Below are 19,375 nucleotides of genomic sequence, written 5' to 3'. Positions count from 1 at the left end.
AGTTTGGATTACATGAATGCATACCTATACAACTACAAAAATACCAACTAAAAATAGCCAAAAGTAATATATGAACTCATAAATTAGGAGGTAAATCTACTAAAAACTGCATTCCTACATATAACCATAGAACTAGAAAATATAATGATAAAAGAATTCATATATGATGGAGACATACTGAAACACAGTATTACTTTAAAATTTATAAAAAGACAAATAAGAATGAAAAAAGGAAGATATAAATCAACAGAGATGTATTATGCTCTTGATTGGAAAGTCTAAATATAGCAAGAATGAAATAGACTCTAATTTGAATTATGTTACATCTATATATTAATCTAAAGTCCCCGTGGCATCTTTTATATAACTTGACAGACTGGTAGTGATATTCATCTAGAAGAATAAGTAGACACAGATACTAGTATATGTATTTCCTTAAATGTAAATATGGCAAATTTATCTGTAGATTTTGGTCTTCTACAAAGAAGCAATCATCAAAACCTTATGGCACTGGGGTAAGAATAGAAAGTTATTGTGAATAGTGCCGCAATAAACATATGTGTGCATGTGTCTTTATAGCAGCATGATTTATAATCCTTTGGGTATATACCCAGTAATGGGATGGCTGGGTCAAATGGTATTTCTATTTCTAGATCCCTGAGGAATCGCCACACCAACTTCCACAACGGTTGAACTACTTTACAGTCCCACCAACAGTGTAAAAGTGTTCCTATTTCTCTACATCCTCTCCAGCACCTGTTGTTTCCTGACTTTTTAATGATTGCCATTCTAACTGGTGTGAGATGGTATCTCATTGTGGTTTTGATTTGCATTTCTCTGATGGCCAGTGATGGTGAGCTTTTTTCATGTGTTTTTTGGCTGCATATAAATGTCTTCTTTTGAGAAGTGTCTGTTCATTGGAACCAACCCAAATGTCCAACAATGACAGACTGGATTAAGAAAATGTGGCACATATACACCATGGAATACTATGCAGCCATAAAAAATGATGAGTTCATGTCCTTTGTAGGGACATGGATGAAGCTGGAAACCATCATTCTCAGCAAACTATTGCAAGGACAAACAACCAAACACCGCATGTTCTCACTCATAGGTGGGAATTGAACAAAGAGAACACATGGACACAGGAAGGGGAACATCACACACCGTGGACTGTTGTGGGGTCGGGGGAGGGGGGAGAGATAGCATTAGGAGATATACCTAATGCTAAATGACAAGTTAATGGGTGCAGCACACCAACATGACACATGTATACATATGTAACAAACCTGCACGTTGTGCACATGTACCCTAAAACTTAAATAAAAAAAAAGAATAGAAAGTTTAGCAATGGATCCAAACTATTTGAACTTAATAGTTGCTAAATCAGAAGCAACACAAATATAAGGAAATACTCACTTTTTAGTAAATAGTTGAGGAATCGCTTGGTATCGAAATGGGGAATATAGAATTACAACATGTACCACAGTGCAAACATTCCAGATGGGTTTTTTAAAAGTTGATTTTTTAAAAAACATAGAATAGTATATTTGTCCCAGATGTGAACAGACAAAATTAGTTCTGATCCAGAAAGACAAAAAATTGATTAATTCATATATACTAAAATAAAGAAATAACTTCTTGCATCAGGGAATGTATGCAATAAAATGAAGTGAAAGGAACAGAAAAAGGACATATCTGCATCATCACTGATAAAGGCTAAGGAAAAGGTGGATGCAAATATCCAAGTAAAAATCAAAGTATGACTTCCAGTTTCAAGTCCACTGTAAAAGAAGCTTGGAAGTCATCACTCCCATCCCCACAATACAAACTGGAAATCAACAACTCTTCTCAGCTCCATCAGAGAACTGAGATCACAGGGCAAACTGCTTCCCCCAAAATTAGAGAAAGAGACAGATGGATACAGACTCATAGCTTACATGAACAGAAACCTCCATAGGAACACAAACAGAAACTTACAGTTTAGGTTCTCTGGGGTAGGAAAACCTAACTATAACTGAGGAGGCTGAGTGTGGATAAGCTCAAAAGCTTAAAAACTCCAGGGAGCCCAGTCTTAGGGGGACCTCACACTTTGAAGAGTTTTACCTCCAGGAGTCCTAAAACATTCTTGTTCTTACAGTGAAGATCAGAGAAAAAGCTCTTTCTGCTTCCAGCAGGGGGAGGGGAAACAGTCATTTTACAATTATAACCAGAGCATTTGGTTTTTCTTATAAGGCATACCTTCATGAAAAACTATTTTACCAGGGCCTAATCAACTTGGGAAAAAGTCAGTATCTAATTCTATCTCCCACCAGCCTTTCTATCTTACCTAAGTGGGGAAAAAACAAAACGAAAGGGAGAAGCACTTTTCAAAGTCATAACTGAGGGCACAGGCTCACTAAAAAACTGAAACCTAATCATATGACTACAGAATGCTTCCATTCTCTCAACATTTTATCATTACTTCTATAGAGATCCTGTATAATAACAGGGGAATATGACTGAAAGAACTGTACCTTTTAAATTTAGTTAAGAAGTCTCTAGGGAAATGGAAACCCAAATACACAACAGTCAAAAACAGACACTAGTGGAAATCTTAGCCTCTGACACATTTAGTTACAACAAATGTAAACACAGCCTAACTCCTATCCAGATAAACATAAACCTTATACTAAAGGTCTATTTACCTCAGTCACTTTTACCTAGTATATCATGTCTAGCTTTCAACAAAAAAATACAAGGTATACTAAAGGACAAAAAAAAAAAAAAACACTGCATGAAGATAAAGAGTCAGACATGGAAGGAATGTTGGAATTATTATAACAGCAATTTAAAATACGTTTAATATGCTAAAGGCCCTAATGGAAAAAGTGGACAACACGCAAGAGCAGATGAGTAATGTAAGCAGAGAGATGGAAATCTTAAGAAAGAATCAAAAGGAAATGCTAGAAATCAAAAACACCATAACAGAAATAAAGAATGCCTTTGATTGATTCATCAATAAATTGGACACAGCAGAGAAAGAATGAGCAAGCTGGAAGAAATAGCAACAGAAACTTCTGAAACTGAAATTCAAAGAGAAAGAAAATGGAAAAGGAACAGAATGTCCAAGGACTGTGGAACAATTACAAAAGACATATAACTGGAATACCAGAAGGAGAAGAAAGAAATACAAGAAGCCAGGCGTGGTTGGTTGCTCACCCCTGTAATCCTAGCACTTTGGGAGGCCTAGGTGGGCGGATCACGAGGTCAGGAGTTCAAAACCAGCCTGGCCAACATGGTGAAATCCCATCTCTCCTAAAGATACAAAAAATTAGCCAGGCATGGTGGTGCGCACCTGTACTCCCAGCTACTCAGGAGGCTGAGGCAGGAGAATCACTTGAACCCAGGAGGCAGAGGTTGCAGTGAGCCGAGATTAAGCCATTGTACTCCAGCCTGGGCAACAGGCCAAGACTTCGTCTCAAAAAAAAAAAAAAAGAAAGAAAGAAAGAAAGAAATAGAAGAAATACATAAAGTAATAATGACTAAGAATTGTTCCAAATTAATGACAGATACCAAACCACAGGTCCAGGCAGGAAGCTCACAGAACACTAAGGAGGATGAATACAAAAAAATCTATACCTACGCATATCATATCCAAACTGCAGAAAATCAAAGGAAAAAAATCTTCAAAGTTGCCGGGGTAAAACAAATACCTTACCTTTTACCTATGGAGGAGCAAGGACAGAATTACAGCAGACATCTTCAGAAATCTCTTCAAGAATACAGAGATAGACATAACATGCTACTACTAGTCAAAACAAATGTGGAGTAGGTATATTAATTTCAGACAGAGCAGACTTCACAGCAGGGAAAATTATCAGCGATAAAGAGGGGTACTGCATAATGATAAAGGGGTCAATACTCTAAAAACACATAATAATCTCTAATAAATAAGCACCTAACAACAGCGTCAACATATGAGGCAAAAACTGATAGAGATACAAGGAGAAATAGATGAATGTACTATTATAGTTGGAGACTTCACCACCCCTCTATTAGTAATTGACAGATACAGCAGACAGAAGATCAGTAAAGACACAGGTAAACCGAACAGCATCATCCATCAACTAGATCAAGTTGATGTCTATAAAACACTTCATTTAACAACAGCAGAATACATATTCTTCTCAAGCTCACACAGAACATTCACTAAGACAGAAAACATTTGAGCCATAAAACATACTTTAACAAATTTAAAAGAACAGAAATCATGCAAAGTATGCTCTCAGAGGACAATGGAATTAGACTAGAAATCATTAAGACAAAGCTTGAAAACTCAAATACTTGGAGATTAAACACTCTTCTAAATATCACATGGGTTAAAGAAGTCTAAAGAAAAATTAAAAAACATTTTGAACTAAATGAAAATGAAGAAACCACTTATCAAAATTTGTGGGATGCAGTGAAACCAGTGCTTAGAGGGATATTTATAGTATTGAATGCATATATTAATAAAGAAGAAAGATCTATAATCAATAATCTAAGCCTCCACCTTAGGTAACTAAAAAAATTAAAAGAATTGAATCCAAAGTAAGCAGAAGAGAAGAAGTAATAAAACTTAGAGCAGAAATCAATGAAACTGAAAACAGGACATCAACAGAGAAAGTCAACAAAACCAAAAGCTGGCTCGTTGAAAAGATCAATAAAATTGATAAACCTCTAGCCCGGTTAAGTAAGCATGAAAGGCCTGCCGGTGGTGGGAGCCAGAGAACTCAGGAGGGGAAAAGGAAACGGGATGACAGAGAGAGAGAGAGAAACAGAGTGCAAATGAGAGAGAGATAAATAGATGGAAAGAGTAAGTAAGAGAGAAACTGGAAGAGACAGAAATCAAAGAAAGACACAGAAGGTGAAACTACGAAAACGAAGAGTGTAAAAGGAAGGCAGAAAGTTAAGGCATGTTGAAGATTGTGAAAGTTGTAAGAAAAGTTATGAAAAGGGGCTAATGTAGGGGGAGGAGCCAAGATGGCCGAATAGGAACAGCTCCGGTCTACAGCTCCCAGCGTGAGCGACGCAGAAGACGGGTGATTTCTGCATTTCCATCTGAGGTACCGGGTTCATCTCACTAGGGAGTGCCAGACAGTGGGCGCAGGCCAGTGTGTGCGCGCACCGTGCGCGAGCCGAAGCAGGGCGAGGCATTGCCTCACCTGGGAAGCGCAAGGGGTCAGGGAGTTCCCTTTCCGAGTCAAAGAAAGGGGTGACGGACGCACCTGGAAAATCGGGTCACTCCCACCCGAATATTGCGCTTTTCAGACCGGCTTAAGAAACGGCGCACCACGAGACTATATCCCACACCTGGCTCAGAGGGTCCTACGCCCACGGAATCTCGCTGATTGCTAGCACAGCAGTCTGAGATCAAACTGCAAGGCGGCAACGAGGCTGGGGGAGGGGCGCCCGCCATTGCCCAGGCTTGCTTAGGTAAACAAAGCAGCCAGGAAGCTCGAACTGGGTGGAGCCCACCACAGCTCAAGGAGGCCTGCCTGCCTCTGTAGGCTCCACCTCTGGGGGCAGGGCACAGACAAACAAAAAGACAGCAGTAACCTCTGCAGACTTAAGTGTCCCTGTCTGACAGCTTTGAAGAGCGCAGTGGTTCTCCCAGCACGCAGCTGGAGATCTGAGAACGGGCAGACTGCCTCCTCAAGTGGGTCCCTGACCCCTGACCCCCGAGCAGCCTAACTGGGAGGCACCCCCCAGCAGGGGCACACTGACACCTCACACGGCAGGGTATTCCAACAGACCTGCAGCTGAGGGTCCTGTCTGTTAGAAGGAAAACTAACAACCAGAAAGGACATCTACACCGAAAACCCATCTGTACATCACCATCATCAAAGACCAAAAGTAGATAAAACCACAAAGATGGGGAAAAAACAGAACAGAAAAACTGGAAACTCTGAAACGCAGAGCGCCTCTCCTCCTCCAAAGGAACGCAGTTCCTCACCAGCAATGGAACAAAGCTGGATGGAGAATGATTTTGACGAGCTGAGAGAAGAAGGCTTCAGACGATCAAATTACTCTGAGCTACGGGAGGACATTCAAACCAAAGGCAAAGAAGTTGAAAACTTTAAAAAAAATTTAGAAGAATGTATAACTAGAATAACCAATACAGAGAAGTGCTTAAAGGAGCTGATGGAGCTGAAAACCAAGGCTCGAGAACTACGTGAAGAATGCAGAAGCCTCGGGAGCCGATGCGATCAACTGGAAGAAAGGGTATCAGCAATGGAAGATGAAATGAATGAAATGAAGCGAGAAGGGAAGTTTAGAGAAAAAAGAATAAAAAGAAATGAGCAAAGCCTCCAAGAAATATGGGACTATGTGAAAAGACCAAATCTACGTCTGATTGGTGTACCTGAAAGTGATGTGGAGAATGGAACCAAGTTGGAAAACACTCTGCAGGATATTATCCAGGAGAACTTCCCCAATCTAGCAAGGCAGGCCAACGTTCAGATTCAGGAAATACAGAGAACGCCACAAAGACACTCCTCGAGAAGAGCAACTCCAAGACACATAATTGTCAGATTCACCAAAGTTGAAATGAAGGAAAAAATGTTAAGGGCAGCCAGAGAGAAAGGTCGGGTTACCCTCAAAGGAAAGCCCATCAGACTAACAGCGGATCTCTCGGCAGAAACCCTACAAGCCAGAAGAGAGTGGGGGCCAATATTCAACATTCTTAAAGAAAAGAATTTTCAACCCAGAATTTCATATCCAGCCAAACTAAGCTTCATAAGTGAAGGAGAAATAAAATACTTTATAGACAAGCAAATGCTGAGAGATTTTGTCACCACCAGGCCTGCCCTAAAAGAGCTCCTGAAGGAAGCGCTAAACATGGAAAGGAACAACCGGTACCAGCCGCTGCAAAATCATGCCAAAATGTAAAGACCATCGAGACTAGGAAGAAACTGCATCAACTAATGAGCAAAATAACCAACTAACATCATAATGACAGGATCAAATTCACACATAACAATATTAACTTTAAATATAAATGGACTAAATTCTGCAATTAAAAGACACAGACTGGCAAGTTGGATAAAGAGTCAAGACCCATCAGTGTGCTGTATTCAGGAAACCCATCTCACGTGCAGAGACACACATAGGCTCAAAATAAAAGGATGGAGGAAGATCTACCAAGCCAATGGAAAACAAAAAAAGGCAGGGGTTGCAATCCTAGTCTCTGATAAAACAGACTTTAAACCAACAAAGATCAAAAGAGACAAAGAAGGCCATTACATAATGGTAAAGGGATCAATTCAACAAGAGGAGCTAACTATCCTAAATATTTATGCACCCAATACAGGAGCACCCAGATTCATAAAGCAAGTCCTGAGTGACCTACAAAGAGACTTAAGACTCCCACACATTAATAATGGGAGACTTTAACACCCCACTGTCAACATTAGACAGATCAACGAAACAGAAAGTCAACAAGGATACCCAGGAATTGAACTCAGCTCTGCACCAAGCAGACCTAATAGACATCTACAGAACTCTCCACCCCAAATCAACAGAATATACATTTTTTTCAGCACCACACCACACCTATTCCAAAATTGACCACACAGTTGGAAGTAAAGCTCTCCTCAGCAAATGTAAAAGAACAGAAATTATAACAAACTATCTCTCAGACCACAGTGCAATCAAACTAGAACTCAGGATTAAGAATCTCACTCAAAGCCGCTCAACTACATGGAAACTGAACAACCTGCTCCTGAATGACTACTGGGTACATAACGAAATGAAGGCAGAAATAAAGATGTTCTTTGAAACCAAAGAGAACAAAGACACCACATACCAGAATCTCTGGGACGCATTCAAAGCAGTGTGTAGAGGGAAATTTATAGCACTAAATGCCTATAAGAGAAAGCAGGAAAGATCCAAAATTGACACCCTAACATCACAATTAAAAGAACTAGAAAAGCAAGAGCAAACACATTCAAAAGCTAGCAGAAGGCAAGAAATAACTAAAATCAGAGCAGAACTGAAGGAAATAGAGACACAAAAAACCCTTCAAAAAATCAATGAATCCAGGAGCTGGTTTTTTGAAAGGATCAACAAAATTGATAGACCGCTAGCAAGACTAATAAAGAAAAAAAGAGAGAAGAATCAAATAGACACAATAAAAAATGATAAAGGGGATATCACCACCGATCCCCCAGAAATACAAACTACCATCAGAGAATACTACAAACACCTCTACGCAAATAAACTAGAAAATCTAGAAGAAATGGATACATTCCTCGACACATACACTCTCCCAAGACTAAACCAGGAAGAAGTTGAATCTCTGAATAGACCAATAACAGGCTCTGAAATTGTGGCAATAATCAATAGTTTACCAACCAAAAAGAGTCCAGGACCAGATGGATTCACAGCCGAATTCTACCAGAGGTACAAGGAGGAACTGGTACCATTCCTTCTGAAACTATTCCAATCAATAGAAAAAGAGGGAATCCTCCCTAACTCATTTTATGAGGCCAGCATCATTCTGATACCAAAGCCGGGCAGAGACACAACCAAAAAAGAGAATTTTAGACCAATATCCTTGATGAACATCGATGCAAAAATCCTCAATAAAATACTGGCAAACCGAATCCAGCAGCACATCAAAAAGCTTATCCACCATGATCAAGTGGGCTTCATCCCTGGGATGCAAGGCTGGTTCAATATACGCAAATCAATAAATGTAATCCAGCATATAAACAGAACCAAAGACAAAAACCACATGATTATCTCAATAGATGCAGAAAAAGCCTTTGACAAAATTCAACAACCCTTCATGCTAAAAACTCTCAATAAATTAGGTATTGATGGGACGTATTTCAAAATAATAAGAGCTATCTATGACAAACCCACAGCCAATATCATACTGAATGGGCAAAAACTGGAAGCATTCCCTTTGAAAACTGGCACAAGACAGGGATGCCCTCTCTCACCGCTCCTATTCAACATAGTGTTGGAAGTTCTGGCCAGGGCAATCAGGCAGGAGAAGGAAATAAAGGGTATTCAATTAGGAAAAGAGGAAGTCAAATTGTCCCTGTTTGCAGACGACATGATTGTTTATCTAGAAAACCCCATTGTCTCAGCCCAAAATCTCCTTAAGCTGATAAGCAACTTCAGCAAAGTCTCAGGATACAAAATCAATGTACAAAAATCACAAGCATTCTTATACACCAACAACAGACAAACAGAGAGCCAAATCATGGGTGAACTCCCATTCACAATTGCTTCAAAGAGAATAAAATAGGAATCCAACTTACAAGGGATGTGAAGGACCTCTTCAAGGAGAACTACAAACCACTGCTCAAGGAAAGAAAAGAGGATACAAACAAATGGAAGAACATTCCATGCTCATGGGTAGGAAGAATCAATATCGTGAAAATGGCCATACTGCCCAAGGTAATTTACAGATTCAATGCCATCCCCATCAAGCTACCAATGACTTTCTTCACAGAATTGGAAAAAACTACTTTAAAGTTCATATGGAACCAAAAAAGAGCCTGCATTGCCAAGTCAATCCTAAGCCAAAAGAACAAAGCTGGAGGCATCACACTACCTGACTTCAAACTATACTACAAGGCTACAGTAACCAAAACAGCATGGTACTGGTACCAAAACAGAGATATAGATCAATGGAACAGAACAGAGCCCTCAGAAATAATGCCACATATCTACAACTATCTGATCTTTGACAAACCTGAGAAAAACAAGCAATGGGGAAAGGATTCCCTATTTAATAAATGGTGCTGGGAAAACTGGCTAGCCATATGTAGAAAGCTGAAACTGGATCCCTTCCTTACACCTTATACAAAAATCAATTCAAGATGGATTAAAGATTTAAACGTTAAACCTAAAACCATAAAAACCCTAGAAGAAAACCTAGGCATTACCATTCAGGACATAGGCGTGGGCAAGGACTTCATGTCCAAAACACCAAAAGCAATGGCAACAAAAGACAAAATTGACAAATGGGATCTAATTAAACTAAAGAGCTTCTGCACAGCAAAAGAAACTACCATCAGAGTGAACAGGCAACCTACAACATGGGAGAAAATTTTCGCAACCTACTCATCTGACAAAGGGCTAATAGCCAGAATCTACAATGAACTCAAACAAATTTACAAGAAAAAAACAAACAACCCCATCAAAAAGTGGGTGAAGGACATGAACAGACACTTCTCAAAAGAAGACATTTATGCAGCCAAAAAACACATGAAGAAATGCTCATCATCACTGGCCATCAGAGAAATGCAAATCAAAACCACTATGAGATATCATCTCACACCAGTTAGAATGGCAATCATTAAAAAGTCAGGAAACAACAGGTGCTGGAGAGGATGCGGAGAAATAGGAACACTTTTACACTGTTGGTGGGACTGTAAACTAGTTCAACCATTGTGGAAGTCAGTGTGGCGATTCCTCAGGGATCTAGAACTAGAAATACCATTTGACCCAGCCATCCCATTACTGGGTATATACCCAAAGGACTATAAATCATGCTGCTATAAAGACACATGCACACGTATGTTTATTGCGGCACTATTCACAATAGCAAAGACTTGGAACCAACCCAAATGTCCAACAATGATAGACTGGATTAAGAAAATGTGGCACATATACACCATGGAATACTATGCAGCCATAAAAAATGATGAGTTCATATCCTTTGTAGGGACATGGATGAAATTGGAAACCATCATTCTCAGTAAACTATCGCAAGAACAAAAAACCAAACACCGCATATTCTCACTCATAGGTGGGAATTGAACAATGAGATCACATGGACACAGGAAGGGGAATATCACACTCTGGGGACTGTGGTGGGGTCGGGGGAGGGGGGAGGGATAGCATTGGGAGATATACCTAATGCTAGATGACACATTAGTGGGTGCAGCGCACCAGCATGGCACATGTATACATATGTAACTAACCTGCACAATGTGCACATGTACCCTAAAACTTAGAGTATAATAAAAAAAAAAAAAAAAAAAAAGAAAAAAAAAAAGTAAGCATGAAAGACAGAAGGCACAAATTACTTTTTGTATTTTGGTATTACAAAATAATACCGTGATCTGATTGTGATACATTGTATGTATTAAAATGTCACTGTGTACCCCACAAATATGTATAATTACATGTCAATGTAAAAATAATTAAGGAAAAAATAAAATAGAGACCATCACTATCGATCATATGGTCATTAAAAAGATAATAAAGGAATATTAACAATTTGATGCCCACAAATTTGATTAATTCAGATGAAATGGATCAATTCTCCTTGAAATACACAATCTACCAAAACTCATGCAAGGAGAAACAGATCATGTGAAAAGACATGTATCTATTAAATAAACTAAACTACTAATAAATAAACTTCCAAGACAGAAAGCCCTAGACCCAGATGGATTCACTAGTGTATTCTACCAAACATTTAAAGACAAAATTGTACCAGTTTTCTATAATCTCTTTCAGAAGATAGAAGCAAAGGGAACCCTTCTTAATTCATTACCCTAATACCAAAACTGAATGGAGAGATTACAAGAAAGCTAAACTACAGACCAATATCTCCCATGAACATAGATGCAAAAATCCTGAACATATTAGCAAATTGAGCACGAGAATATATAAAAAGAATTATATGTACATCATGACCAAGTGGGATTTATCCCAGTTATGGAAGGCTAGTTCAACATTCAAAAATAAATTAGCGTAATCTAGCATATTAACAGGCTTAAGAAGAAAAATCACATGATCATATAAATCAACATAGAAAATACATTTGACAATACGCAACACCCATTCACGATAAAAACTCTAATTAAACTAGGAATAGAGGGGAACTTCTTCAACTTGATAAAGAACATCTACAAAAACCTACAGCTAACATTTAATTGTACAAGACTCAAGACTTTTCCAGCAACATTAGCAAAAAGCAAGGATATCCCTTCTCACCAACCCATTTCAACATCATACTGAAAGACCTAGCTAATGCAAAAAAGACAAGGAAGGGAAGTAAAAGATACACAGAGTGGGAGAAAGAAATAAAAACTTTTTTTTCACTGATGACATGATTGTCGATGTAGAAAATCCAAAGAGTCAACAACTCCTGAAACAAATGAGTAACTATAGCAAGGTTGCAGAATATAAGGTTAATATACAAAAATCAACTGCTTTCTCATACACTAGCAATGACAAACTGGAATTTGAAAAATCAGAACACAATGCTATTTACATTAGTTCTAAAAATCAAATAATTAAGTATAAAACTAACCAAAATATGTACAAGACCTACATGAGGAAAACTACAAAACTCAGATGAAACAAATCAAAGATCTAAATAAATAGATATTCCATGAACTTGGATAGGAAGACTCAATATTGTCAAGAAGTAAGTTTTTCCCAACTTGATCTACAGGTTCAGTGCAGTTCCAATCAAAATTCCAGCAAGTTATTTTGTGGGTATCAACAAACTGATTCTAAAGTTTAGCCAGAGAGACAAATGACCCAGAATAGCCAACACAATTTTGAAAGAGAAGAACAAACCTGGAAGACTGACACTATCCAACTTCAAGGCTTACTATAAAGCTACAATAATCAAGACAGTGTAATAATGGCATAAGAATATAGATCAATAGAACAGAACAAATCCAGAAATATACCCACAAAAATATAGTCAATGGATCTTTGACAAATGAGCAAAGGCAATACAATGACACAAATATATTCTTTTCAATAAATGGTACTGAAACAACTGGACATGAACATGCAAAAAAAAAAATGAATCTAGAGGTAGGTCTTCAACTTTCACAAAAATTAACTCAAAATAGATGACTGACCTAAATGTAAAACACAGAACTATAAAACTCCTAGAAAATAATGTAGGCTAAAATCTAAGTGATCTTAGGTTTGGTGGTGACCTTTTAGATACAACACCAAAAGCATGATCCATGAAAGAAAAAATTGATAGACTGGACTTCATTATAATTAAAAACTTCTGCTCTGCAAAAGCCACTGTTAATTGAATGTAAAAGCAAATCACACATGGGAAAAATATTTGCAAAAGACATATCTTAGAAAGGGATTGTATCTAAAATAAGTAAGAAACTCTTTAAGCTCAAGGATAAGAAAACATTCCTATTAGAATGCCTAAAATCCAAAACACTAACAAAACCAAATGTTGATGAGGATATGGAGTAACAGGAACTCTCGTTCACTGCTGATGGAAATGTAAAATGGTACAGCCACTTTGGAGGACAGTTTGGTGGTTTCTTACAAAATTAAACATAGTCTTACCATATGATCCAGCAACACTTCCTGGTATTTTACTTAAGTGAGTTGAGAACTTATGTCCATACAAGATCCTGCACACAAACGTTTATAGCAGCTTTATTCATAATTGCCAAAATGTAGAAGGAACCAAGCTGCCCTTCAGTGGGTGAGGATAAATAAACTTTGTGCCTCCAGACAATGGAATACTATGCAGTGATAAAAAGAAATAAGCTGGTTACTATATGGGATAAATGGGGAAAAAAATGAAAGAAAAGAAATGAGCTATCAAGTCATGAAAAGATATGAGGAGCCTTAAATGCATAGTGCTAAGTAAAATAAGCCATTCTGAAAAGGCTGCATAATGTATGATTCTAACTATATGACATTCTGGAAAAGGCTAAACTATGGAGACAGAAAAATGATCAGCGGTTGCCAGGGGTTTAGGGTGGGGGAGGGGGGATAAATAGGCAGAACTCAGAGGAATTTTAGGGCAGTGAAACTATTCTGTATGATACTATAATGGTCATGCATGTCATTATACACTTGTCAAAACCCATAGAGTATATAACACAAAGAGGGAACTCTAATGTAAACTATGGTTTACATTAATAATTATATTTAAACTATTATTTAATAATAGTTATAATACATTATAATTATACTATTATTTAATAATAATGTCTCAACATTAGCCCATCAATTTTAACAAGTGTACAACACTCATGCAAGATGTTAATAGCGGAAACTGGGGTGTCTCGAGAATATATAACAACTCTATACTTTCCATTCAATCTTTTTGTAAACCTAAAACTGCTCAAAAAAGTCTATGAATTTTTAAAATATGAAAAGAAACTAAAAGAGCCATTTACACATAAGGAAATTTTGATGCTAAAAATCATCCTGTGTAACACAGAAATCCCCCTAGTAATGACAGAATAGAAATTTTAAGTCATTTAAACCAATGGTTCTCAAACTTCAGTGTGCATCAGAATCACCTGGAGGGCTGTTAAAACACAGATTGCTGGGCCCCACCCCTGACTTTCTGATTACCTAGGTCTGAGGTGAGGCCTGAGAGTTTATTTCTAACAAGTTCCTGGAGGATGCTGATGCTGCTAGTCTTGGGCATCAAGAGAGGTATAAAGTCTGATAAAATAAGACTAAGGCTGAGCAGTAACCAAAATGAGATTTTAGAGTATACAAAAGATAAGGAGCACATATTAAATAACCTGAATCTTTACTGCAGGTTAGATTGGGAGAATCTGGGAGAGAAGAAGGACCAAGGATCAGAATCTATAAGTCCCAAATGTTTAAGAACTTGAGGACTGAAATGGAGTGTGTGTCTCTTTCTGTCTCTGTCACCACTATTTATAATACTGTATTGCTACGCTGACCTGAACACTATAAATTTGCAATGGGCAATGAGCAAAAATGATAAGATGGGGAGGAATGAATAGATCAGCTTAGCTAAGAAGAGAGTAACAACTGAAGAATACTGCTGAGGTCACAGTAGAAAGCACTCAGGCTCAGGCGCTAAGGATGGGAGGAGGGGAGTGAATCAGATCATGGGCACCTGTACTCCCTAGGTGAGAGAGAGAGAGAGATGGAGAGACGGACAGAGAGAGCGATAGACTGAAACAGAGACATGTATAGTCCATCTCTATTTGACTAAAGTAAGGTAATATAAAGATATAGGCTGTTCTCATTTCCATATTGTGTGGGGTGCATACAAGATCAGCAATAAGAAGGGTCCCTTGCTCTTCACCCCCTCTAATTCAAGAAGAGTCTGTAATAGACATCTAAAGGCAGCTCACAGTTCTACTCAGGATGTCCTGGAAGATAAAGGGCAGCTTATAAGCTCAAACTCCTATACATTCTGTAAGTGTAAATCTTCATGAATGTGTGCATCTCCCTGTCCTCAGAGGGGACAGAGTGGGGGGAATAGGAAGACTCTCTCTTTGGCCCCCATCATTTGTGCCCGTCTGAATTTTTCTTCTAAAGCTGCCCATCAGAGAGCACATCCAGTGATTTTGACTCTCGTTTGTCACTGCATCCTTAACACTAAAAAGAGTATCTGTCACACTCTAGAAACTCAAGATATAGGAAGGCAAGAAAAGAGACATATATGCACTCAGTCCATATATATACATATAGGTAGGCAAGGCTCCATCTCATTGAATCCTTGGCTTAATACTTGAGACAGCACTCACATCTAGGTTGGAAGGAAGTGAGGGAGCAAATCAGAAGGCTCTGGTTCCCGCCCACCACCCTGTGTGTGGACAGCAGGTGGGGAACACAGAGAAAGCTCACTGTCTCACTCTGGATACCTGCATACATGGACATTATTTAATAAGGACATTTATTCTAATACACAGACAAGCCCACCAGAGCACCTGAAGTCCCTAACTATTCTGTTCTGTGCTTCCCCAACACACACCCATCACTCAAAAACTATGACAGGGGAGGGTGGGAGGGGTGATGTCTAGGCTCTCTGTCCTTCTTGGTACAGTTGAGCTCCCCCTCTCTGAATCCTTGCCCAGGTGCATTGCATTGAGCCAGCACTAGCACCCAGATAGCAAGGATTAGAGAGGGGGAGCAGGGCAGAAGGCTTGGGCACCTGCCGTGCTCGAAGCAGAGAAGGTTCTCTGTTACACAGCTCTGTGTGAGAACAGGAATGAGAGTCTTGCATTGTGTATATGTTGGGAGAGGGTGTCAATAAGAAGTCCCATGTTGTGGCCCACACTAACTCAGCACGTGCAGGAATATTAGGTGACAAAAAGTCAAGTCTCCTACACATATTCTTTGAGGCAAGAACCAAGTCCATCTTGTGTGATACCATATGCCCACTGCCCTGGCAGCACAGCGTTAGCATGTACTAAGTGCTCAATACTTGTGAAAGGGAGGTAGAGGGGAAGGAGAGGGAGGAGGAAGTGTGACTCACAGGCACTTTGTCTGTCTATGGGCAGAAAAAGGCCCCTCTGAGAGTCCTGGAATAGGTGCTGCACTGAGACAGCATGCACATTTAGGTGGCAAGGATACAAGGGGAAGCAGAGCAGCAGGCTCAGGATGTGCACACCACATATATTTGCACAGGTACCCATGTCTGTGGGAGGGAATAAAGAAAAGCCTGATTTCTGGCACCCTGAGCCCATGTATTCACAGGAAGTTGGATGACATGAGGATGCTTATTCTCCATGAGCCTGCTAGACAGTAAGGTCGGCATCTCTGACAGGTTAGTTTACTGTGGCATTCCCAAACAGCAGGAATTCAGTAAATTTGTTAAAGGGATGAATAAATGAATGGACCAAAAACATGCACACACAAATGACTGACTGAAAGAATGAACAAAGGAAAGAGAAGGGATGGACAGGCTCTGTCCTACACATAGGCAAGGCTCACAAGCTGGTATCCTTGCACAAGCCCATTGCACTGCTAAGACAGCACTTGTGCCTAGGCTGCAAGGCTAGGAGAGGGCAAGCAAAAATCAAAGTCCAGGCACCTGCACACCAGGCATGCATCTGAGTGTGTGTGGCAAGGAAACTTGCAGGCAAGTTTAGATAATAAGGCTCCTTCCTTTCAGCTTTGTACAGAAATGTTTCTACACTTACACATGTGTGTGTGCACATGCATGCACAATGTGAGCATGTGTATTCATAAGAGAATGAGAAGGCTCAATTCCTGACACACCTGTGTCTGTTGCCTAGGCCTGGGGAAGTCTAGGCACCTAATACCTCCACTAGATAGGAAGTCCCGGAGAGAGACACTGTCCATTATTTAGCAGGGTACTCCCAGCACAGCTCATGGCACATCAAAAGTGCGCAATAAACACGGGCTACTTGGATTGTTCAGCAGAAGATTCACGATGACAAGGCTCACCCTCCTGTAATCCATGCACACAGGAGGTGTTTTGAGAATTCACAACTCCGATATGCAATGGGTATGGGAGAAGGAGCAGTTCATTCTTCTGCACATGGGAGGGGGGTGGGGGAGGAGAGAGAAAGAAAGACAGAAAGAGAGAAAGAGAGAGAGAGGAGAGAGATTGATTGATTGATTGAGAGAGAGACAGATTGAGATTAAAGTGTCAGGTGCACGCCTGGAGAAGCAGTGCCAAGTCTATTCCCTAATAAAGTACTTGTTGTGTGTTCACTTAGCCTCATGTGCTCACTGAATGTGTGGTTATGGAGGAGGTGGAGACAGTAATGAAATGATGGCTTCCCTGCCACAGTCTGCATGGACTCGGCATTGGGAACGTACATGAGCAATGCAGGAGCTCATTCTCTTCCACCCTTCACCTGACTAGCTTATCACTGCCCCTAGCTAGCACTTATACTAAATCAGTGATTCTCAAACTTAAGTGAGCATCAGAATCAGTTGAGAGCCTTGGTAAAGTACAGATTTCCATGGTTTATGGTGTAGTAGGTCAGGGATGAGCCCAAGAATTGGCATTTTGAACAAGCTCCTAGGTGATACAGATGCTGCTGGCCCAGGGACCACACTGAGAACCACTGCTCTATACATAACTTAAAGAAATGAAATAATGGGACATAGAGGGGTGATGCAAAGACTCTACACTTTTAAACATGGATGAGATTCCCTCTCTGAATTTTTGTACAAGGCAATGGACTGGAATAGCATTTGTACCCAACTACGAAGAATGAAAGAGAGGGACAACCTGAATAGAAGGCTCGAGCATCTTCAAATCCATTGTGTTTGTGTGTATGTACAAAAGAAACAGCACTCTCTGGCTCACAGGTGATTTTCCTATGACCATACAAAGGTGAAGTGTCTTTTCTTCATATGCATGTGTGAGATGACTGACAAGTAGGGCCACTTTCCTTCAAGCTCTGGTGGCATAAGCAGCAAGTAGAAAGCCTATTGCCTTGCACACCAGACATGAGTGAGAAGATGCTGCTAATGACACTCATTATCCTATGCACACTGTGGCTGCAGCTCTGTGTAAGGGGAGACACACCTTTTGTAGTTCTCTAGCTGAGCACTGTTGGGGGGTTGGAGAGGGGATGATGGGAAGACTCACTCTCTGCTACATACGTATGCATGAACAATGTGGGCAACGGAAGTTCCTTCTCTTAAACATGCTCACTAGGCATGTGAGTATGAGTTCTGTGTCTTTCTTGACCACCCTGTCTCTCCATGTCTGGTGCATGACAGGAGCGCCACCCCTGCTTGTTAAAGGTGGGAATGAATGAAGGATGGGGATTATAAACAGGTGTTCTTCGCTCTATGCAGAAAAGGCTCAGCCGTGGAATGCTTGCCTGGGTGCACCGCATTGACACAGCACTTGCATCCAGGTACCAGGATTCAAGAGGGGGAACAGGACTGAAGGCCCAAGCAGCCATACAGAGTATGTGTGTGTGCACGTGTGCGTGTGTGCACATGTGCTCACATGGGTTTACAGGGAAGGCTCACCGCATATAGTGTGTTCATCTGTGACTGTACAGAAAAGTAATGAAAGGATCTCTCCTATACAGAGCAGCAAGAAGGAAAGTAGCAGTAAGAAGACTTCCCTCATTTAATCCCCATCTATAAGGGAGTTAAGGAAGCTCACTGGCTTGCACGCTGAGAATGGGAGAGAGGAGAGCACAACAGGCTCCATCTCCTACCCTTTCAGTAGGTGGGGTTCTCTGCATGCAGGGCCATGTCTCTGAGTGTGTCTGGTGTACAAGGATTGGGGACATTTGAGAATTTCACTTGAGCAGAACCTGCACATGCTTGTGCATGCAGACTGGGTAACAAGGAACATATAGATCTACTTCATTCTTTTGAACAGTGGCCTATTCATCCACAACATTTATGTATAGTGTGTTTATGAGTCCCTACCAGAATGTAGGGTAGCAACCTGTCCATTTTGATCCCTGCTATATCCTTGGTGATGAACATAATACCTGCTGTCTAATAGACACTTGAGTATCTGTGGAAGGAAGAGGAGGGAGAGTTGATGTGCAAAAGCTCTGTCCTTTTAAGTGTAGACAAGGCTTCTTCCCTTGGAATTCTTGAAAAGGGACAGTGAGTCAAGGCAGTACTGGCACACAGGCTGAAAGAATGTGAGTGATGCACC

At 40.1% G+C, this 19,375-nt stretch overlaps 1 protein-coding gene and 2 non-coding genes across 8 annotated transcripts in view; all 3 read right to left on the bottom strand.

Moving 5' to 3' along the window:
- The window catches only part of CLCN5 (chloride voltage-gated channel 5), a 176,635-nt gene that overhangs the window by 68,736 nt on the left and 88,524 nt on the right, over nucleotides 1-19,375 (bottom strand). The gene's annotated exons all lie outside the window — the stretch shown is intronic.
- On the bottom strand, nucleotides 15,812-15,897 carry MIR502 (microRNA 502). Its single transcript, NR_030226.1, has one exon. It is a non-coding gene; the product is annotated as a microRNA 502 (primary transcript).
- MIR660 (microRNA 660) lies at nucleotides 17,158-17,254 on the bottom strand. Its single transcript, NR_030397.1, has one exon. It is a non-coding gene; the product is annotated as a microRNA 660 (primary transcript).

The sequence above is a fragment of the Homo sapiens genome, chromosome X (assembly GCF_000001405.40).
Source record: "Homo sapiens chromosome X, GRCh38.p14 Primary Assembly".
Classification (NCBI taxonomy): domain Eukaryota; kingdom Metazoa; phylum Chordata; class Mammalia; order Primates; family Hominidae; genus Homo; species Homo sapiens.
The sequence above is the reverse complement of the archived record's forward strand: the minus strand, read 5'-3'. Positions and strand labels throughout refer to the sequence as shown.